Genomic DNA, 23,643 nt, shown 5'->3' on the forward strand with positions numbered 1-23,643 from the left:
AATACTATGCAGCCATAAAAAGGAATGAGATCATGTCCTTTGCAGGGACATGGATGAAGCTGGAAGCCATTATCCTCAGCAAACTAACGCAGGAAGAGAAAAACCAAACACTGCATGTTCTCACTTATAAGTGGGAGCTGAACAAAGAGAACACGTGGACACAGGGAGAGTGTGGGGGGAGTGTTCTCCCCCCATACCCTTTTGGGGGAGGGTGTTGGGGGAGAACATTAGGGAAAAGAACTAATGCATGCTGGGCTTAATACCTAGGTGATGGATTGTTATGTGCAGCAAACCACCATGGCACATGTTTACCTATGTAACGAACCTGCACATCCTGCACATGTACCCTGGAACTTAAAAAAATTAAATAATTTTAAAAAAAAGATTACTTAAAGCAAGAAACCCATATGAGAGCAGCACAGTCAGTGTTGGGAAATTCTTTTCTCTTTCCCATAATGGGGAGAGAGGAAAAAGAGCAGAGTAGGGGCTGAGATGGGTCCTACTCAGAGCCCTAGTACCATGACTCTCACGAGCTTGGGGTGGTCACCAAACCTCTCAGGGTTTTCCATCCCTGGCTTTCAGACAGGAATAAAAATAGCCAGCCAATTCAGGAGCACCGTCATGCACAACAGACCTGCTGACCAGGCAGCACTTTGGGCTTATTTTTTTCCACTCCCATTTTGTCCAAAGTAAATTTGAGGCATGGTATGTAGCTATTTCAAGACAGCTCCATCGATATAGTCTCCACTGCTTCTTTCAACAGGTCCTCTTATGCTTCTATTTTGGGTATTTCAGGAGTGAGTCTTGCCCACTTAGTTTTTTTGGGGAAAAAAATCCATGTTCCTGGAGCTCTTGCTCTCTGAGAAAGGACAGAACATTTAATATCTTGGGAGATTTTAGACCATCACTAAATATTAAACTCCTGTTGCTATCTTTCTATTCATGAGCTGCTTCTAGAAGTGTCATCATTTTAGAAATCCCATAATTCCAGGGGGGAAAAGCAGAGGCTAAAAATACAACAGAATCCTTGACATTGAAGGAGACACATTGTGTAGTGGTTAAAAACATGGGCTTTGCAGTCAGAGGCACGGGTTTGAATCCTGCCTCTGCCACCTGAAGCAGCTGGCCTCTCCTAGCCTGCCTCTGCAGCTACAAGACAGCGGGTCCCCCTGCCTCCTTGGTCCTCTGCGGTTGAATGAGGTAATGCTTGTTAAGTTCTGTACTCAAGAGATTGTCTGGTATGACACTCAGCTGTTAGCTCTCCTGTTGTCACCACTGACAATCCCAAGATATGAATGAATATCCACGTGATAAAACCACTACAGTAAGTAATCCCCCCATACATTCAGTGAGGTATAACTAAAAGTCCAAGTGTCCCCTTTAGCCCTTAATGACAGTTACTGTCTTTCACACATGAGGACAAGCAGAGAAGCCCAAAGCCAGGTGGAGATATCGACCTGGGGCTGCTGGACCCTCCTCTGAGCAGGAGTCTGCAGGACTGCTGGGTCCAGTTGCCTGGGCTGGTTACAGTCACCTGCATGTGCTTGGCTTGAGTGGTTGAGGAACAGGCCCAGTCACTGGCTAACAGTAGACGCTGGATGCTGAATTGAGACAGGAAGGGTCTGCTGTAGTTTGCATAACTGGCTTCTCTGTGCTCACTGAACTTGTCAAGGAACAAACACAGAGAGATGAAGGGGCTAGACTCTAGAGGCCAATGCAGGCCGGCAAGGCAGCAAAACTTCATCTGTACTTACAGCCACTTCCCATTGCTCACGTTAGCTCCGCCTCCTGTCAGTTTAGCAGTGGCATTAGATTCTCATAGGAGCGGGAAACCTATTGTGAACTGTGCATGTGAGGGATCTAGGCTGTGTACTTCTTATGAGAATCTAATACTTGATGATCTGTCACTGTCTCCCATCACCCCCAAATTGGACTGTCTAGTTGCAGAGAAACAAGCCCAGGGCTCCTCCCGATTCTACATTATGGTGAGTTGTATAATTATTTCATTAAATATTACAATGTAATAATAATAGAAATAAAGTACACAATAAATGTAACAAGCTGGAATCATCCTGAAACCAGCACCTCTCCCAAGTCTGTGGAAAAATTGTGTTCCATGCAACTGGTCCCTGGTGTCAAAAAGGTTGGGGGCTGCTGGGCTAGTGGATCTCATTTGATGTACATGTTCAAAAAGGCTTTTGACAGGCTCCACAAAAGGCCGTTTAAACCACCACCTCCAAGTGGCTAGAGGAAGTCCCTTTGTCAGGGCTTTGGGCTGGGTTCCTCCAAGTGTGATCTGCAGACAGACAGCTTCACATTCCCCTGAGTTTGCCTGCCACCCCTACCCAGCCCAGACCTACTGAATCAGGATCTCTGGGGTGAGGCCCAGAAATCTGTGGGACAAACTTGCTAGGTGATTTTTTAAAGTCAGGCCTATTGAAATAGAATTGCTATACTGTAATGTTTGCCCTGCAGGTAATTAATTAATTAATTAATTAATTTATATTTTTATTTTGAGACAGGGTCTCACTTCATCATCCAGGCTGGAGTGCAGTGGCACGTTCATGGCTCACTGCAGCCTTGACCTCCTAGGCTCAAGCAATCCTCCCACCTCAGCCTCCAGAGTAGCTGGGATTAACAGGTACATTCCACTGCACCCAGCTAATTTTTGTATCTTAGTAGAGAGACAGAGTGTCACCACATTGCCCAGGCTGGCCTCGAACTCCTGGGCTCAAGTGATCTGCCTACCTCGGCCTCCCAAAGTGCTGAGATTATAGGTGCGAGCCGCCACGTCTGGCCCCCTGCAGGTGATCCTGATGCACACTAATGTTTGAGACGCAGGCTTGTGTTACACAGAAGCAAAGGATAAATGGGCTCTTGCAAAAGTGGAAAGGCCAGGGTCCTTTTTGGAGCTGATTATCTTCCAGCTCTTCAAACTCCTGTGTGACTCTAAAGCCTGAAATCTGCTGAGGTTCTTCGTGGTAAAGTATTAGGTCAGTAGAAATACAAAGAAAGAGAAAACTTGGAATCTGTTTTGGAACACTTCTCTAAAACTGATTGGTGAAGGGTGGACTCTGCTATGGTCTCATTTAACCCCTATTGATGGATACCTTTGCCTCTTTTTATAAATGACATGAGGTGGTGTTATAAAAATAGGTACCATAAAAAGGCAATGCAAACGAGAAACAAGTGTGTGTGGGAGAAACAGCGAGAAGGAGAGAGACGGGAGAGAGGGACATAAAAAGGAAGAAGGAGGGAAGGAGACAGGAAGGGAGACAGAGAGTAGAGAGAGACGGGGTGGGGTTATGAGAGCGATAAGAGAGAGAAGGAACAGAAGAAGAGGGGAGGGAGGGAAACAGGAAGAAACAGACAGGCGGGCAGTGAGAGAGGGAAGGAGAGATTGGGACAAAGGAAAGTAAGGGTAAGGAGCAGCAATGAGCAAAACAGGCACCAGGTTAATACACAAAGATGGATATCAGAAAATCACACGCACATGCCAAAGCTGAGGGACAAATCTAACTCTATGCCTCCTGGCAGTCTTAGCAAGGATGTATAAGGTTCATTAGATAGGAATATATATACTTGTTCTGCACAAGCTGGACAGGCTCAGCTTTCCCTAAGTCTGTGGTTGGAGAGCAACGGTCAGAGAGCAACTTCTCTTCTTCTGCGGGTGTTTTTGAAGGGGACTTCATGTGCTGTGGTGGATGACATCCTGAACAATTTCCCAAAGAAGCATCTGCCCGTGTAAACCATCAGTTCTTTCACTTCACACAGCTCACTAAGAAGCCAGAAGAGTCCAAGCTGTGAAGAAGCTCCATGCAACAGTAACAGTGATGGCAGATGACATGTGGTGGTCTCGCTCTGTGTATTCAGAGACCAGAGTGGAAACAAGCCTGAGGCTTAGAGTGCAAGTTCCTGGTCCTCCATAATTCCACCTGTCTGCCTCAGCCCAAAGGGCAGAGAGGATGAAGGGAGCTTGATGCTAGTGGATTATCATTAGAAGGTTGTTTATTAAAAAAAACCCTTTTCCTGACTACAACCATGATACATTCACTCTTGAAACTTTTTCAAAAGTTTCAAGACATTTTCTCATTACAAAAGTGACATATTTTTAGGAAATTAAAATAAATCAATATATAATAAGTACCATATTAGAGAATAAAACCCATCTGTAATCCACTATGTAGAGAGAACCATGTAAGTATACACTGCACACGAACATGCACCTAAACTTACTCTTTCTATTCTGTTACGTGCATTCTCCTCCCCGCACCCCCCCCACCATATAACCAAACTTCTTAAAAACAAGCATTTAATTCAAGTTCGAGGTTCTTTGCGCAGGGTGCTGTCCTGCCCCCACCACCCAGGAAGTTCAATGTGCACCATGTGCAGAACGGGTTCCTCTTCCACTGGCATATTTGGCAGCTTTGTAGCTTGTCACAGGTTTTCTGATAGGGGATGTGATTCACACTTGAGACCTAAGTGGACAGGGAGGAGTGGGTCAAACCACAGTCCCAAGGGCAAGCCACACTGTGACCACTCTGCTCTTCCTGTGCACCCTTAGGATGAGCCAGCTCCAGGAGGGGCAGCACTGGGGCTTGTGCGCCCCTAGGGTGCTGTACGAGCCTCGTGAGCTGATGTGCTTTACTAAAGCCATCTCCAACAAGTGAGGGCGGAGTAACTGTTCTCATTTGAGGGCCTTTAAAGGTGTTTGTCTTAGATCCTCCCAGACTCAGCAAAGAACACCCCAAATACCAGGGCAGGGTCAGCCCAGGCAGACAAGGCTATTCCTATGAGAGGCACTTTGGTGAAGGTAGGGGAGGGCAGGGACAGGGATGTCACTTATTGAGTGCTTGCTAAGTGCTGGGGGCTTTCCTTACATCATCCGCCAAGTCGAGGCAGGGTAGGCGGCCTGCTTTAACCTAAGTAGTCTCCATTTTTTAGATAAGAAAACTAAACTGAAGCTTAGACAACCTTGTCAATGGGCAAGGGTTTGCTCAGTAACTTAGAGTACCATCTCCTCCTTGGGGGGCAAAACTGCCTCCAGTTATTTTATAAAAATGAGCATTACAAGGAACCCCCCAAATTCCTGGTATCTTTCCTAAGAATGATTCTCTCAGCCTCTCTCTCAGAGTCTGCCTCTTTCTTTTCTTCCTGCTTTTCTCTCTCTCCCCCTATTTTTTTCTCTATCTCCCTTCACTCTCCCTTTCCCACTCTATTGTTTTTTCTGGAAATTCAAGAAAATAGCGAGTGAGGGAAGGAAAGGCCTAGAGACTTAAAATTTAAAAAAAGAATCACTTAGAAAAGGAAGGTGGCAAAGGCCAGCAGGGAATATCCAAAGAAAGTCTCCCCAAGATGTGCCAGCTGAGGGCAGAGAAGGACTGGCACTGGCCCCCAGGACTCTGGCCCATCTCCTCCAGACACCAAGTCTGAGTAGCACTTGGGGCTGACGATAGGAAAAGCAAATGTTCCAGGTTTTGGAACAGACCTCATATCGAGCCCACCAGCAGCTGGAGTTTCAAAGCCACTCAGTTCCTGTTGCCATGAAATTTATGAGAGGCCCCTCCAGCATGTTAACCAAACGCACATCTTGCAGACACCACTGCTCTCTGGGGAAGCTGTGAAAGCTTTGCCTAGAGACCACAGACCCACTAACAGGGCCTGGAGCCCAACCCTACTTACAGGAAGAGGGTCTGGAATAGCAATTGAGGGGCAGGGAAATCCCCCATCCAATTCACAGGAGGGGTCTCCGTAGTTCAGAGGAGCCAGGGAGACAGCCATCTGGACAGCTCCTCCCAACAGCCCTGCTCCCCTGGGAGCAGCATCCACACCCCTGAGCGCAATCACCCCCTTTAAAAGCAGCCCTAATTGGACTTCATGCTGTGCTGGTCAGCGGGAGCCGGCTGAGCCTGTGGCTCTTAACTCTCTTCCCCAGATGTCAAAAGTTGTGAACACGTTTGCCCATTGCAGAGCTTACATCATTTACAGCCATTTCATAACTTCCTCAGATATCATGGCTAACTTTCTAACAATTTAATCATGACGTCTGGCTTTTTAGTAGGAACTTTCAGCCAAAGTTTCTGACCTGGGACTAAATATTTTGTCTTCAGATACTACAATGGCAAAGCCAACTAATACTTTTTGGATGTCTAGGAGAAAAGGCAGTAGATTAATTTAGTAAAGATGGGAGTCAGCAGTAGCTACTGGGGAAGCTGGCGGGGGGTATAAATCTGATACTCCCAGGTATCAAGGCCTCCATTCCACCCTGAGGCCAGGCTGGAGTCACCCAAAGCTCTGGACTCAGCTCTGGGATGGGAGGCTGGCTTCAGGGCAGCAGCAGGCCCAGTTTACAAGGGTGGAACTCCAAGCTTGGGAGGTGATGCGTGAACCTGCAAAAGCAGCTATGGAGTGAAGGAGAGGCTGGTGCGGAGGCTTACACTCGGGTGGCAGAACTGCTAAGCCAGAGCTTAGAGAAGTAAATGGTCTAGAACCCAGTGGCTGCCCAGAGAGACTTGGTGAGCAGGGATCCTGCTCCCCTGGGCAGGTGGGGGGAGGTGAGAATAATTCTTACTTTTTGTGAATGATCCCGAAGAGGAAGGGCACTGTCAGCATCTAGTGTGGCAATGCTACTGACCTTTGCAGAGAGAGCAATGCCCTATCAAGGAAACTGATCGACAGGGGCATTTCCTGGGGCTGTGTGTGCAGGCAGAAGAACAAGAGGGTTTTCAAATGAGCAGCGGATGTCAGCAGAGTTACGGAAAGGGAATCCCTGTCACATTTACAGTAGGAAATTGATCTCAAGTGTTACCAACTAATGAGGGGAATTCAATTTTGCTGTCTTAGAGGGGGGTGTGTGGGATGGTGGAGATGAGATAAATATAATTATGCAACTCATTCATTATTAAACCCAAGATCACTATCTTTTAAACGATGGATATAAAACCATTTGAAAACAGAGTTTAGCCTGCAGTACCATCATTTAAGAGGGAAGGGGCCTTCGTTGTAGTTAAGCAGTGAAAGAGAGAAAGGTAACTATAGTGCTACAGTTCTCTTGCTGTTCCACTTGTTCAGCTGGGTGGGGTGGGGCAGGGCCATTTTTGTCTCTATCATTCCCCAACCCCAGATTCACAATTTACTGAGAGAACTCCTATGCTTAAAAGAGAACATATTTTTCCTATAACATAATCCCTGAAAAATCTCCTAATTCTTCAGTGATCTTTTCCAATATTGACCAAATCTGACCCTATTTGCTTTTTAACTTTCCCTGATCATACACTGACTTTAGATCCTACCCACCCCTCCATCCCCACTGAAGGGCAGAGACTCCATATTATCTCACCAAACATCAAAAGCACCCTGTGGGGTTAGCATTATTAGTCTCTATTTTTAAGATAAGAAAACAAAACTGAAGCTTAGATAACCTTGTCAATGGACATATAGCTGGAATGTAGTAGAACTGAAATTTGATCTCAGTTTTCTCTGATATTGAGATACTGAAGAGCTATAGAAAATTAGGATGCTATTCAAGTCCAGAAAGACAAATGCTGAGAAGGCACATGATCCCAACCCACAAATCACGCTGGCAGTGAGGAAGGGGAACACTTAACTAGTGAACATCTTCTAGTAATCAGAAAGGGGCACTTTCAGGAGAAACAAGAGGAAGTATTACTTTATTTGGGGGAGGAGTGGGGAACTATACATATGGAACTTATTATTCTCACAAGGGAGCAGTGGTTGAAAATACAGATGCAAAAGAGATTTCTACATGTCCAGGGATGATGGTTAATTGAGGAGCTGCTGGAAGTAGGGTGGTGGCTGGAACATGAGATGCTATCAGGCCTTCCACTAAGGGCAGGAACCTCTGGGCTACACAGTGCTCTTGTCCAGGAGCTCAGAGCAGGCCTAAGATGGACTTCTGAATTGCTTTTGCAGCTTCAAACAAGATGCTGTAGGGGAAACCTAAGGGAACATCTGAGCCATTTTAATTCCCTCTGACCATTTCTCCCTTTGGGAAAAACCCAAGGGGCATCAGATGTGATGGAACCAAATTCAAACAAAGATATTGGTAAAGAAACACACAATTTAGTTTCTACTTTCCTACAAAGATACTGGTTATTGATAACACAGCAGCCGTGTGTGTGTGTGTGTGTGTGTGTGTGTGTGTGTGTACTGGGAAAAAAGATAGAGTCAGAGAAGCCCCAGTGGGGTTCATCATGCTTACTTTGAAGGCAAAAGCAGAGTTTGCATCATTTTGGTACCTTTTCATTTTCCAACAGGGAGAAGAAAATCAGATAACATGAACACAGAAGTATTTTGCCAGCTTTCAATTTTATCTAAAGTACCTGGTCTTAGAGTTTTTAACCCAATGTAGAATTTTCTGAGGTTGGACTATGATGATGATGACATTATTATTAGGAGCAGCTACTATTGGATTGTCCACCTACTGCAAGTGCTATGCCCAGCATTTTATAGAGCGAATTCTATTTAATCCCCACAAAAATCTTGCAAGGAAATCCTCACTATCTCATCTTACAGATGAAGAAAGTGGAGCTGAGGGGGGTTAAAGTTGTTCAATGATGCGAAGTCAGCAAATGGCAGAGCGGAAACCAGAACTCATGGTTGGTTTCCTCTAAAGCTCTCGCCCTTTCTAATACAGCACACTGTCACTTCAGAGGGCATGGTGCGTGTGTGGATGTGTGTGAGAGAGAGTTGAGAGTTAAGAAGTCCTTATGGGCATCTTCCACACACTCAAGATGACTCTCATTTGGAAAATAACAAATCAGGAATTACCAGGAAAATTTAGGGGCATTTTAGAATTAAAAGGGCTAAGAGTCCCAAGGCAAATGGCTTTAATTAGCAAAGAGGCTTTGGGAAATTAAAATAAAACCTCAGTGGAATCATGTTAAGTGCAGGCTAAAACCAGAGACTGTATCCATCCAAAGATGCACGACATACATATTTCAACTTGGCCTGTTACCTGTACCCCGACTCCCCCTGGGAAGACCACTACCTCCCCCAAAAGGCACAAGGAGGAGAGAGGCAGGTATGAGACTCCACAAGCAGCCTGCCAATCACCATTCTACATTCATTATGGATTAAAATGCAATGGAAATAGACAGGAAATATACTGGACGAAGATCACACTCTCTGCCACTAAGCTCCTCTTCCTCCTCATGACCCCATTTCTCCAGCTCCCAGGTTGCTTCTTCTATCCCTACTACCTTGGTCTTAGTAATTTTAAGCAAAAAAAAAAAAAAAAAAAAAAAAAAATTAAGAAAATTACAGGTCACGATTTTGCTTTGAGGACTGGAAGCTAAGCCTCCCCCTTTTCTTTTAATATGTGATAATTTGATTTCAAAGAGACAAATCATTTCCTTCTTTCATCTCTTCAAACCAGAAAGCCCCTTATTGTAATTACATCCTCTTGGTGTCAACCAGCATTTGGAAAATACTTTACTTCCAAGTTCCATTCACAAGGTAAACAAGGAGGTTTATGTTTGGCTTTCATCAGCTGGCTTTGAACGAGAATGTGAATGGCTCTGGGAACTGGAGCCCAGTCCTGCTGGATGGGGAATTCTGTTCTGGCTTTGTTGGAGGAACAGCCCCGTTAGAGCCCAGGGCTACCTGCCTTTGCAGTCTCTGTGTGCCTCTATTCTCCTTATAAATATCAAAATTGTTAGGTAAAGTGGTTGGCAGGAAACTCTCAATCCACCCTTAGGAAAAAATGCTTCCTCTTGTTGAGTCTTTGAACCATAATCCCCTTAAACCCTCTACACTGAGCACATATAAGCGCTATTGGGATGATTGTTTTTCTAGAACATTTTATGTCCTCAGAACTTTTGACAGGTGCCTTTTTTCATCGGCAGTTTGCAGATGCCGTGTGGGTGGAAGAAGGATACTCCTCATTTTAAGTGAGGAAACTGAAGAATACAGAGGTAAATTTAAGGCAAAGCTCAACAGTCTTAAAAACATAGAAGTGAATTTGTAGTTGGGACTATGTCCCATGACAAAGATGTGACTCTCTTTCCTATTCCCTCTGAGTTTTGTACAGATGATTTTGCTTGTCCTTAGATAAAAGCCCTTCAATCAAGATTATATTCAAGAGGAAAGAAGCTGAGATGTAAGAGAGTGGTCGAATTATACGCAATTATTTTTTTTTATAAATTTTCGAATTTCATGAAGTGAGCATTTTAGAGTTTGAACACAACCATTTAAAATTAAAACCCCATAACACTATAAACACAGTTAAAGCTTAACCAATTTTTATTGTTAGTGTTTTATTCACAGACAGAATTGTAGTGTTATAGAAGACTGGCCTTGAGGAATCTAGATTTAATCTGCACAAGAAAAATCATGTTACTGCCTCATGTTTTATCAATAAAAAGGAAGAAGGAGGAAGGAGACAAAATAATCATTTAGAGAAGACAGAAGATGCTTAGAAGAAAGATGTTTGGTAAGAGATGACCTCGGGCTTGGTCTCTATGGACAGAAACCTCACACACTCCTACCATAAACAACAAAATCCCAAAAGAGTACAGCCTATTTGATCCATTTCCAACCACTATACTTATGTCACTTTTTTTCTTTTAATTGAAAGAGTTCAGCTGGGAAACTGCTCTCTGAAGGAGGCAGGGAATATGCAAAAGATAAAGTGTGGGCCAGAGACTCCCAGGAGTTCCCCTAAATCCAAAGTCCTTTTTCTCCTGAGAATAGAGACTACATTTCCCAGCCTCCCTTGCAGTTAGGTGTGACCATGTGACCAGGATATATGGCCAGTGGATCTCAGCAGAGGTAACATGCTCCACTTGCAGGCTTGGTCCATAAGAACCTCCCGGTGTGACCTCCCTTTGTCTTTTCCCAGCTGCTGTCTGATTAGAGAGGCTCCTGCAGGACATGGAGGAGGGAGGAGCCACAGGATGGAAGAAGCCTGGGTCCTTGAATAAGCACATGGAAAGAAGTCTGCAGGGCCAGGAAAACCTGCAGAGCCTTTGACATGAGCAGGAAATAAACAATATTCAGGGTTTATCTGTTACAGCAGGGAGTGTTACTCTAATGCCAAGCCTGAAGTCTGGCATTAGGGGTTGGTTAGAGAATTTCTGATGTGGGATGAATCCTCACAATAAATCATATCCTTTTCTCTCTTTCTCTGTCTCTTCTGGGAGCCTCATCCAAACATCAACATGCCCTGTGCTTACAATCTGAAGTCAATCTGGCCCTGATTGGGAGGCTCCACTTTGAAACCCTGGTCCCCAGCTTAAGGTCTGTTCTGTCCGTTCTCCATCCTGGAGGGATCAGGTCGACCTTCACAAACCTCTCCAGGAGTAGTAACAGTCTTTTGGGGTGAGGAGTGAGATCAGCTTTGTAATTGAACAAAGTGTGGATGGGGCAAAGGCTGCTTCTGCAACTCTATAAAACAAAATATAAAATGGTGCCGCCACAATTGACAGCAGGCAGGGCACAACTGTTTTGATGGAAATGCTATACAGCTGATGCAAATATACTGCATTCTCAAAACCCTCTGGGCAGAAATCGCCAAGGCAGGACAGCATGGTAACTACTATAACATCAATCTTCTTGACATAGAAGATGGATGCCCTACAGTTCTCCAAATGGCCATGATCATGTATCTCACCAGCTGCAAAATCTTAAATCGATACCACTGGAAAAAAAAAAAGCATGACCATCCTGGCCCAGAATATCTTGATCATATCTTGTTATAACTGGGAACTTCTCATCCATCCATTCTTTAGTTTTACTGGCAATGTGTTACACATCAAACAACTTTTTATAACAGCCCCCACAAGGGATTTTATAATTTGTTATTTAAAAGTTATGCATCTTCATTGTATAATTTTTGGAAATACAAATATCCTAAGCAAATGACTTGCTGTCTTATCACTGAGAAGAAATAACCTGTGTTTAGAAAACATTTTACAAATGCTTATTATTTTTAGTAGGTTGCCTTTTTTGTCTTTTGTATAAAAGATCATGTTTCTTTGACTTCTTTCCCCTTTTGTGGTGATTTAGAATATAAATACTCTTTTTAATTTGTTTACATTTTAAAAAAATTTAGTTTATTTTCTCAATTATCAATGTTAAAAATGAAATTTGATGTGTCATTTGATAAAAAATTAGCATGCTTACTTCCTCCTTCTTTTTCTTCCCAGTTACCAGTTTTTATTTGTCATCTGATTTCATATCCTCATTATTTTATATATAAAACTTATATTTCAGTAATTAATTTTGACATCTGTACTAGTATAACTAAACTGACAACAGTTGCTTGGACACATTATCGCTGGTTTTGAAAAAATTATATCCTCCCCATTTGGGGGTTTTTATCTTGATATAGCTGTTATCTAGTTGAAGAGGCTCTTTGGACATTTTTTCCAGGAAGGGCATGTGAAAAGTATATCCATATAACGAAATATTATATGTCTGAGAACATCTGTGTTTCATTCATGTACATGGCTTTGCATATGAATGACAACTTGGGTCATGAGCTTTGGACCCCATAGGCCTCCCACCACTGACTTCTGGCTTGTAGTTGATGAAAAAACTGAAGCTAGATTTACTATATTCCTTTGTAACCTGCTTTTATTTTCACTTCAGTGCTTATAAGACCTTTTCTTTGCAATGAGAACTGGTTAAATTACCCTGAAGTTAATGCTTTCAATCTTAAGGACAAGTCTTTTTCAGCTTAAGAAAGTTCTCTTTAATGATCTTTGATGATTGTGTCAGCCTTAGTTTTCTTTTTTCCTTTTGGAATTATCTGTATATTGGATCACCGGGTCCTTTTTTCCTTTTTTTCTCATTATTTTTGTTTTTCAGTCCTGAGTTCTGGGAGAAATTTTCCAGCCCATTAAAAAAAATTACTGACTTTACTGTGATATCTAATCTTCTGCTCATTAGTGTATTATGGATTTAAAATTGGTCACCATATTCTGTCATCTCTTTGTAGCTGTTTCTTACTTGTTTCATAGATGCAGTGTCAGCTTCAGTCTTGAAGACATAAATTAGATTATTCAATATCTTTACCCATTTCTTAGGAATAGAGGCATTAGTTGAAATTCCTCAAAAAATCTTCTCATATGATGAAATCCTTTCTTGTGGCCAGCGATTTCTTGCATCATCATCTTTACAGAGAAAGATCTGCTTTCGTGTAGCATCATGGGGAGTTAATTTGGGCTTCAACAGAGACAATGGCCCTATTCAATATTTTGGGGCTAGATAAAGACAGAAAAGGGGAAGTTTAACTGTAGCGCCTTCAAATACCTAAGAAATCTATTTGGTAGAAGCAGGAGACAACAGGTACACACCAAAGAGTTTTCTCTTTTCCCCTGTGTTTTCCAGACATTCATGCCATGCCAGTAGTGAGAGCTGACTGAGTTTGTCACTTATTGTGGCCTTGACTGTGTCCTTTCTTAAGGCATTGGCAGGATCCAGATGGCCTGCCCTCACCCTCATACCTTGGCCTTCCAAGGTTGGGCTGTTTGGGTGATTCTGCTCCTGACAATCCTGTCTTCCAGAGGAGTGATTGTTGGACTAGGGTAGGAGGGCTGCCACCTGCACGCTCACTGGCAGAAATTCTTCAGAGCTTCTAGTACTGATATACATTTAGAAATGGTTTCATATTTCACAGATCATTTCAGTGAGTGTCCAAGGGTAGATTGGACTAAGGGAGGAGTAAACGTGGTATGCTGTAGTGTTAATTTCCCTGGAAACCCTTTGCTTATGGACGTTTTCTACATTATATGCCCACATGGTGACCAATATAACAGTGCCTCGCCACCCCCACCAACCACTTAAAAAGTTTCTCCATGAGGCTATTTTAAAAATGAGTGCATTCTCAGTTCTCTCTATGGGAATCCCCAGCAAAGCATCAGCTAGTATTTTTGCATGCTCAAAGAGTGGACTGATTTCCGTTGGTGGATATCTGAGCCTTCCCTGGATAATATCCCCCAGAGCTGCAACCCCCCTCCCTCTCTCCAAGGTGTGCCAGGATTCCCCGTGAGGAAAACTCCATGCCAACATTCCTGCCTCTTCCATGATCTAAAGGCTCTGCCTCATAAAAAAGTTGGGAATTCCTGGTTTAAATCCCCTGGGCTAAGTGTAAATCAAGCAACTTGGAGCTCTGCTCTTACAAGGAGAAATGTTGGGGGATTCCAGAAACACCAGGGTCATTTTACCTCTTAATAGTTTCTCCAAGCCATACTGGTTCAGAAGCAAAGACCTCATAGTTCCATGAAAAATTTGTTTTTCCTCAAAACTAAAAGAAATGAAGCCCTAAGGGTCTCATTTCACAAAATTCTCCCCTAGTCCAGAAGTGAAATATCAAAGAGTTGGAGGTACTCACAGCTAACTTTCTACCCAGTCAGGGTTCTGCATATGGTGTCCCTGGGAGAGGACACCCAGCCTGTGCTCTACTCTTCCAGTACTCAGGGGCTCAGTCTCTAAGGTAGTACTAAGTACTACTGCCCCAAATAGAATGAGCTGCCTTAGTACTGGCATTCTATTTGGGCAGATTATTGCTAGGAGGTTCTTCCTTAAACACATTAACATCTGCCTCCCAGAAACCTCTGTGTATTGTTTTGAATTCCATCCTTGGAAGCCACACAGAATAAGTCTCCCTCTTCTATACAGCAGTCCTTTCCCATTTCTATAGTCAGCCACCAAACCTCTGGGTCTTTGTGGTCCTAAACTCCCCTTGACATCCAGCCTCCAAGGTAGCTCCCAATGATCCCTACCTCCTGGTATCCACAGCCTTGTGAAGTCCCCTCCCATACTGTCTCAGGGCTGGTCTGTGCGACCAATAGAATATGAATGGGATGTGACTTCAGAGACTAGGTCATAAAAGGCACTGTAACTTCTGCCTTGTTCTCTTTGTCTCTCTCTCTTGGATTGGTCACTCTGGAGGAAGCTAGTTGCTAAGTCATTGAGACACACAATGGAGAGGTCCATGTGGAAAGACTGAGGCCTCCCAACAATAGCTTGTAAGTGAGCCATTCTTCAGCCCCACTCAAGCCTTCAGATGACAGTGCAGCCCCAGTTGCCATCTTGACAGCAACCTCAATGAGAGACCCTGACCCAGAACCTCCCAGCAAAGCCACTTCTGAATTCCTCTCAGACCCTGTGTGGGAAAATAAATGTTTATTGCTTTAAGCTACTAAATTTTAATTTGTCATATAGCAATAAATAACATACACTTTGAGTTTCTATAAGTATTCTTTAAGCAAGAAAGTCTGCAAACCTCTCACCTCAGGGAAAATTCTGATTTTTTTTTTTTTTAGTGCCTTTCTTAAAATAGTCTACTATAGAGTAATGGGGACAACAACAACAACAAAACACATTTACCAAATACGTTGGATGTTGGCCTTTGTGCTAACAGTTTTATACGTACTACCTAAGTTAATTCTTATAAAAGCCCTGTGATATAGGTTCTATTATTCTATCCATTTTACAGATGAGGAATACAGGTTTAGAGAGGTTAAAAGCCTTGCCTAAAGATGTAGGGCTAGGAAGAGGCAGAAGGGAAATCCAAAAACAGGCAGTGTGACCTCAGAGTCCTAGCTCTAAAGCTCTAGGTTACAGGAACAGAGTACAGTAGGAAAACCACCTCCCATGACCTGATTTCTACATTGATAGAACTTAGTTCTCCATCAATTTTGCCAGCAGTCCTGGAATGCTGTTGGATTATATAAATTTGTGGTCAGCTAAGGCCTCTGGCTGTTTCTCCACTTAAACTACTGTCAAATTTGGCCTCATATCTTCCTGATTAAATCATTACTCTTAACCTAAATACTGACTGTTATTATAAATGTGTCACTGTTCAATTTAACTTGGTTGGTTGGCTGTGATCCATTGTTCTGGCTCAAAACTTTTTTTTTTTCTCTTGAGTCTTTATTCTATCATCCAATACTTCAGCTATCATTCTGGGCACTGTGTTGTCTCTAAATCTGATAAACTTTTCCTTATATGTCTTCCTTTGATTTGCTCATAAAAGTCTCAACAGGAAAGAAGGATAAAGCCTGCTGGCACACCCAGGAGTCCCCCTTCTAGGTCAATGCGAATACATCAACAAATGTTTTCTGAAGATGACCTAGTTAAAAACGTCCTACCCTTCCCAAAAGCTTCTAGGTAAACCCATGTTGAGTATGTTTGGGGATCTCTTCATTTAAAGAGGTCACTGGCATTGTTCCTTCTCACCAACTAGCCAACTGTGAACTCTTGTAACTCATATTTCTCCATTTTGTCCAACTGAATATTTTGATTTTGTCATGTGCCTTGTTGAACTCAACGTGTATCCTCTTATACAGCCTTATGCTGGTGGCATTTCCCTCATCAGTCTTACAACACTAAAAAAGAAGTAAAGTTAATCTGCTGTGACTTTTCATTCTTTATTTGCTGTAATAAATTGGTCTAATGTTTTCCTGGGAGTGTCAAGTTTTATAATCTACATTCTAAACAATCTTCAGGCATTTTTACATCATTAAAGTCAGAAATGTATTTGTCTTTTTCCATTCTCTGAGCAATTTTTACATTTGCTGCTATTTCTTAAAAATCACCAACAGGGATGGGTGATTTTTGCTACAGGTTTCTCAGTACATTGAAGTAAAATTCATCTGTACCTGTGATGAGTAAACTCATCTGTGGTATTAGGGGTCTTTTACTAGGATACTCACTCAACCTTTTATTTCATATTTACTATGTTTGTTTTATTCTTTTTGACAGAAAATATAAAAGCAAAATTATGTCAATAATAGTCTTTTCCTGGTTTTGCACTAACCTTTTCTACCTGCCACAAGAGATGGACTTATTCCTTCCTTTTTTTACCTGTCTGCTCCCAAAGATAGCCTCAGAAAACCATTGGTTTGTGGCCAATAGCCACAACTCTAGTTCTTTCTGTCCTTCAGTTTTCCTGACATTCTCATAAACACCTGCCACCTAGGAGGCACTAACGTGCTTGTTCCCTCAACAAAGTGCTCTTCCATTCTATTCTTTGTCACCTCTTGGGACACATCCTTCTTTTGATGTTCTTGCATAACTTACTAGATGATGTATCAGAGAATTCCTTCTGCAGCCACATTTGGGTTCCTTACAGTCTCTCTCCCCTTTACTTTCTCATGAACCCTTTGACTACAAACTCAGAACTCTATGAGCCTCTCAACTGGCCTGGCCTTATTCCCTTGTAGAATCATGCTTGTGGGATCACATGTGGTTTTACCCTGAATTTTTGGACACTCTGATTGCCTGAAATTGAACTCTACCTAGTGTTTCCTTCTCTCACTTCTATAGCACATATAGATATCAACCTGTTATCCTTTCTGATCAAGACTGCATTCACAGAAGCAGGTGTCCCTGTTGTCTTCTTTATCTTCTGAGTAATACATAACCAACAAGTATGTAAAGAATTCTTCAGGTGTTCAATTTGCAGCATGCTGAGATTTCCAGAAAATATACCCATCTGAAGTTTGTTGCCAAACCACATTCTATCCTTATGACTACTTTGTCATCAAGATCCAGACAATATTAATTTCTTAGATCAACCATCTATCTACAGAATTGATCTATGATGATTTAACTTTTGATATCCCGATTATTTTTTCTTGAAGCAACTGTCCATGTCATTATTGAGCCTATTTGTTTATTTGGGGCTGCCTGGCAAACATTTCTTTACTTCATAACAGCACTCAGGTTTTCTTTTAGGGAATTACCTCTTCCCCTACAGGTTTACATTGGCTTATCACCATGTTCAGATGTGCTACCCACCCTTCCATCCTCTTTACCTCAAATATGAATCTTGATAAGAAAGACAAAAAGATAATGCTGATGGAATTCATGCATTATAACTGTGGCATGTTGAGCAGAGTTTCTGTTCTGAGATAGAATCTGCCATTCCTGATTCCTGGCTTCCTGGAGTCATCTGGGTTACTGTTCTGTTCTAAGGGTGATTCTCCAGCTTTCCCACAGATTCTGTGTGCTCCCAACAGCCTTCCAACAAAGTTGCTTTTGTTCAAGTTAGTTGGAATTGATTGTTGCAACCAAAGAACCCTAGTTGATGTATTCGGAACAAGATCTGTTCTTCAACTGACTTCTTATAATGCTATTCCTTGTCACCAATTCTCCAGTGCCCACAGGATCATGGAATCACCCATTCAACTCACTGCAACCATTGATTCGCTTCAGTTTTCCAAAAACATTTCCTCAACAAGCCCACAGGCAGAAACTGAATTAAAATGCCAAGTTTCATCTATTCACTGCCCCCAAAGTGAGCTATAAATCTGTAGTTACCCAAGGTGGTAAGTCTTGTTTATAGCAATACTGTGTTCTGTAGCCTTACCGCTCTTCCTTCTTCTCTCAAGCTCACCCTTCCTAAATTGATACGCCTACCTTCACAGTCATCCCCCCCCTTTCTTTTTGAGACAGACTCTTGCCCTGTCACCCAGGCTAGAGTGCAGTGGCACGATCTGGCTCACTGCAACCCCCGCCTCCTGGGTTCAAGTGATTCTTCTGCCTCAGCCTCCCGAGTAGCTGGGATTACAGGTGCCCGCCACCGTGCCTGGCTAATTTTTGTATTTTTAGTAGAGATGGGGTTTCACCATGTTGGCCAGGCTGGTCTCGAACTCCTGACCTCATGATCCACCTGCCTCGGCCTCCCAAAGTGCTGGCACAGTCCCTTTTAGTGTTTTATGAAATTAGAAAATAAATCCAGGATCACCTCTGAAGACTGAGAATCAATCCAAAGGAACCGAGCACTGCTTAGTTTTCAAACCATCCCTGCTACCCTTCCCATAGCATCTGGCTTGACCATTTTGAGACTTTTTTCCCTCCCTGCAATTTCAGCTTAGGGACATACTGATCAGCTCAGTGGCTCTTTTGCCAAACATGTACTTACTTACTTCCCTGTCTTTGTATGCTACAAAGACATTATAGCTGAAATTATATTCATATATTGCATTTATACAGGCAACCACCCCACTCTGGTGGCTGGCTGTGTTGGCCCTTCTCCATCAAGTCTCAGATGAACAGTCAAGAAAGACCAGATACTTACTAATTGGCTACATCAGGGGCAACGCTGTATCCTTCAGCAGGAAGTCACAATTCACAATCATATTTCCTCCTCCTGGAACCGAGGACTCTTCTACACTCCCAAATGCCAAGCTGATAGTATTTGAAAGGCAAAAGCTCACAAAATATATATCTTAATTACAGTGCCCTGAACATATTTTTCCTAGCCTGCTACATCAGGAAGTCATTGCTTTCTACTGCCCACTGGAGTGGACTTTTCCCTCACCTACCCACTTGTGACACTCTTCTTGCAGATGGAGGTCTATATTTTGCCTCCAGCCAATATGGCAAAAATGACCTCTGTAGACTTAGATGGTGAAACAATGAATATTCTGACCTATTCCACAGTGGCCCTTAAGGGACGAAGGGTACAGGGAACAAAGGCAGGATATTTTGCCTCCTTCCATCCGTGTCTGAGTACCTCTAAGGTATACTCCTCTTGGTTGTATGAGACCCCAACCACAAACACCAAAGCTGTCTCTCAAAAACATCTAAGCAAATTGCAACAAGATCCTTATAATTGCACCCCCTGCCTTTATTCATTTCTTGTGTTTTTTGTTTGTTTGTTGTTGTTGTTTGTCTTTTTTTTTGAGACAGGGTCTCACTTTGTTGTTCAGGCTGGAGTGCAGTGAGGCAAACACAGCCTCCTGGGTTCAAGTCATCCTCCTGCCTCTGCCTCCCAAGTAGCTGGGACTACAGGTGCGCGCTACCACACCAGGCTACTTTTTGTGTTTTTTTGTAGAGATGAGGATTTGCATGTTGCCTAGACTGGTATCAAACTCTTGAGCTCAAGCTATCTGCCTGCCATGGCCCCCTAAAGTGCTGGAATTATAGGCGTGAGCTACCATGCCTGCCTATTTCTTGGTGTTTTTTTTTAGACAGAGTCTTGCTCTGTTGCCCAGGCTGGAGTGCAGTGGCACGATCTCGGCTCACTGCAAGCTCCACCTCCCGGGTTCACACTCATTCTCCTGTCTCAGCCTCCTGAGTAGCTGGGACTACAGAAGCCCGCCACCACACCCAGCTAATTTTTGTATTTTTAGTAGAGATGGGGTTTCACTGTGTTAGCCAGGATGGTCTCGATCTCCTGACCTCGTGATCTGCCCGCCTCGGCCTCCCAAAGTGCTAGGATTACAGGCATGTGCCACTGCGCCCAGCCCTATTTCTTGTTTTTAATCACTTTTGAAATTGCAAAAGCAATACATGTTTAAGAGAGAAAACTTGAGAGAACAGAAGAGTACAAAGAAAGAATAAACTCAAAGCATGCAAAAGCCATTCACAGATAACCACTATTAAAACTTTGGAATATAAATATTGTCTTTATTTTGTGTTCTGTGTGCCCAACAGGGAATAAAACGATACTACTCATGAACACTTCCCCAACTCAATTAAGTATTATGCTACAGGTTGAGTATTCTTTATCCAAAGTGCCTGGGATTGGAAGTCTTTTGGATTTTGGATTTTTTCAAATTTTGAATATTTGCATATACATATATGAGATATGAGATATCCTGGGGATGGGACCCAACTCTAAACATAAAATTCATTTGTTTCATATATACCTTATACACATATCTTGAAGGTAATTTTATATAATATTGTAGATAATTTTGGGCATGAAACAAAGTTTTGACTGTATTCTAACTGTGACCACATGAGGTCAGGTGTAGAATTTTCCATTTGTGGTGTCATGTTGGTGCTCAAAGAGGTTCAGATTGTGGAGGATTTTAGATTTCAGGTTTTGGGATTAGGGATGCTTAGTCTGGACATGGTAATCTTTGATGGCTGAAGTTTTCATCTAATATATACTGTTTAACCAATCTCCTCTTATTGGGCATTGTGATAGCTTCCCAATATCTCACTATTATGAAACATTATATGAAACCGAATATCCTTCTACATAGATCTTTGTTCACGCACATTTATGATTATTTTTCTGAGAGTAGAATTAGTGTGGCAAAGGAATGCTCCTTTTTCTGAGACACATTATCAAGCTGCATTCCAGGAAATTTGTAACAATTTACACTCCCCTGAGGAGGAGATGAGTGTTTCTTCATAACCGTTCCAATGCTAGATATTTTTCATTTCCCTTCTCGTCAATTTCGTGGCAATGTATAAGAATCTCTTATGTTAACTGCATTTTCTTAATTTCTTGATGTAGATTTTTTTCATATGATTATTAACATTTGTATTTCAACTTTGGTTAATTAGCTGTTTATATCTTTTGCCTACTTTTCTAGTGATACATTCTTTCTTGTCTATTTGAAAGTACTCTTTAAAATACTAATAACTCTGTATCCCGTTATATATGTTACAAATAATTTGTGGTTTGTGTCTTCCTTTTGCTTATGCAGAAGTCACCCTGACATTATTAGAGGCCTTCCCTTTCTTAAGATTATATAAATATTTACCTACACTTCCTTCCATTATTTTATTGCTTATATTTAATTCTAAACCATCTATATTTAGTGCATAAGACGTATTTCATTATTTTCTAAACAGCCAACCAATTATCCTAACTCCATTTGTTGAACAGTTTATCATCTCCTTATTGATTTGAAATGTTACCTTTATCATAGGCTAATAACTCACTTTCAGTCTTTCTACTTAGTTCTACTGAGATTCTGTTTCTGTACCAGCACCAAAGCATTTACTGTAACCTTGCAATATGTTTAATATCTGGCAGTACAAATTTACAAATTTGTCATCTTCCCTTGCCCCTACCCCTCATTTTTTTGAAAACACTTTGAATACTCTCCCGTTTGTTTTTCCAGGTGACCGTTAGAATCATTTATAAGTTCTCTTCCCCATATCCAAACCGTTAGAGGACTGACATTATAATTATACATCAAGTTAGAGATAACTGGCCCATTTACAACAAGGAGTTTTCCTAGTCACAAATGTGCTATGCTTCTCCATTTATTCGCATTTCTGTGATGCACCCTGCAGTAAAGTTCCATGGAAGTCCTGCATACAACCACCACTGCTGGATTTATTATTTCTCTGTAACACCGTCAGCTTACTTTTAACCATCCCTGACAGAAAAAGGAAAGGCCTCCAGCCACCAAGCCCTGCTATAATACCATACATTGGAGGCTGGAAGGGTGTTCCAGGGCTGGAAAGATGGCACAAAAGATTCCGAGTCAGCAGCACGGGCCCCAGTAGCAGCTCTGTCACACTCACTCTAGATGACTTTGGCCAAGTCCTTCCCATCCCTGGGTCTCAGTTTACTCCTCTGTAAACTGTGCTGCCTGTCTGTTCCTGGGGAGAGGGTGCCTGGCTCTGTGCCACAGGCAGAGGCTCCCTGGGCAGGTGAGCGCCTTCTCCCACCAGCTGTTAGAAAAAGGTGGGCGTTGGAATGCTGCTCAGAGGCACCCTGGCTTCGCTCAACCTGGAGTTTCACACACCCATTCCTTAACCTCATTCTCTCCCTATTTCATTCCTCTTCCCACGCAGTGTTTACTAAAATCTCTCAACACCAGACGAAGCACAAGACCAGGATGTTCTGGGCTGCCTGGGGAATGTTCCCACAACGGTGAGCCGCTGGGCAGAGAATCACACGGTTGCCACCCATTCAAGGCGGGGGCGCCCCAGTCTCCAACTCAGGGGTCACTGATGTGCTCAAGGACAAGAAAACCATCAGACAATGTCTGAGAGAGGGGCTTTTCCTTCGGTGCTTACAAATAAAATACAAAAATCCTCACAGGAAAAGGAGGATAAAGGCTGTGGTGGCTTTGCTGTTTGTTTACAAAGCAGTCAAGGGACAAGTGAGAACCTGTGTGGCATTTTATACTCACTGTGTCTACCATGTAGGGTCTAGCTATAGGTTCTCTTTTATAGTCTAGGAACTTGCTGTTCAAAATGTGGTCCACAGACAAGTGCCACTGGTGCTACCTGGGAGCTTGTTAGAAATGCAGAGTGTCAGGCCTCACCCCTGAGCCACTGAATCTGAATCTGCATTTTAACCAGGCCCCCAGGAGAGTCCTCCACACATTGTAGGCTGAGATATGTAGCTCTGGTTTACCGCCTTTCAATCTTCCACACGCATTGCAGTCACCTTGGAAAAGTACCCATGCCAGGGCCCACCCCCACACCCAGAGATAATGATTTAATTGTTATGGGGTGCAGCCAGGACAATGGGATTTTTAAAAACTCTTCAGGTGATTGTAACATATAGCAAAGTTTGAGAACAACTGGTCTAGTATACACACAAATAGATTAAAAGAAAAAATGAGAAATCCCTTCCTGGACTATAAATAGAATCATAGAAAGTTTATAAACAACTGTAGCAAAATTTATTGAAAATAAATTGAACATATAACCACCAATCTGATGTCTTTACCATATAGTGTCAATAAATGATGCACTTGAGAAAATAACAACGAATTGCACTATTCAGAGAAGGTAAAAGATAAGATATTCTCTCTCCCATCTTCTTTCCACCTTGTGACTAATTAAAACAAAACCTCCTCATATAGTAATTTTCAAATGATGGCAAATGGGAACATTTTTGTGCTTCAGCCTTAGCACAATTTTCCTTTAGCACTGGAAATTTCAGTCGGATAATGCGCTTTGCAC

The 23,643-nt window shown here is 42.5% G+C and overlaps 1 protein-coding gene and 2 long non-coding RNA genes across 6 annotated transcripts in view; all 3 read right to left on the reverse strand.

Moving 5' to 3' along the window:
• TGFA (transforming growth factor alpha) overlaps window positions 1-23,643 on the reverse strand; it is a 106,543-nt gene that overhangs the window by 19,554 nt on the left and 63,346 nt on the right. The gene's annotated exons all lie outside the window — the stretch shown is intronic.
• TGFA-IT1 (TGFA intronic transcript 1) lies at window positions 548-14,803 on the reverse strand. The gene is made up of 3 exons (NR_046798.1): window positions 14,748-14,803; window positions 1,535-1,658; window positions 548-859 (listed from the first exon to the last, which is right to left on the reverse strand). It is a non-coding gene; the product is annotated as a TGFA intronic transcript 1 (long non-coding RNA).
• On the reverse strand, window positions 12,761-14,735 carry LOC107985895 (uncharacterized). The gene is made up of 2 exons (XR_001739532.1): window positions 13,320-14,735; window positions 12,761-13,226 (listed from the first exon to the last, which is right to left on the reverse strand). It is a non-coding gene; the product is annotated as an uncharacterized LOC107985895 (long non-coding RNA).

The sequence above is a fragment of the Homo sapiens genome, chromosome 2 (genome assembly GCF_000001405.40).
Source record: "Homo sapiens chromosome 2, GRCh38.p14 Primary Assembly".
In the NCBI taxonomy this organism is placed as follows: Eukaryota; Metazoa; Chordata; class Mammalia; order Primates; family Hominidae; genus Homo; species Homo sapiens.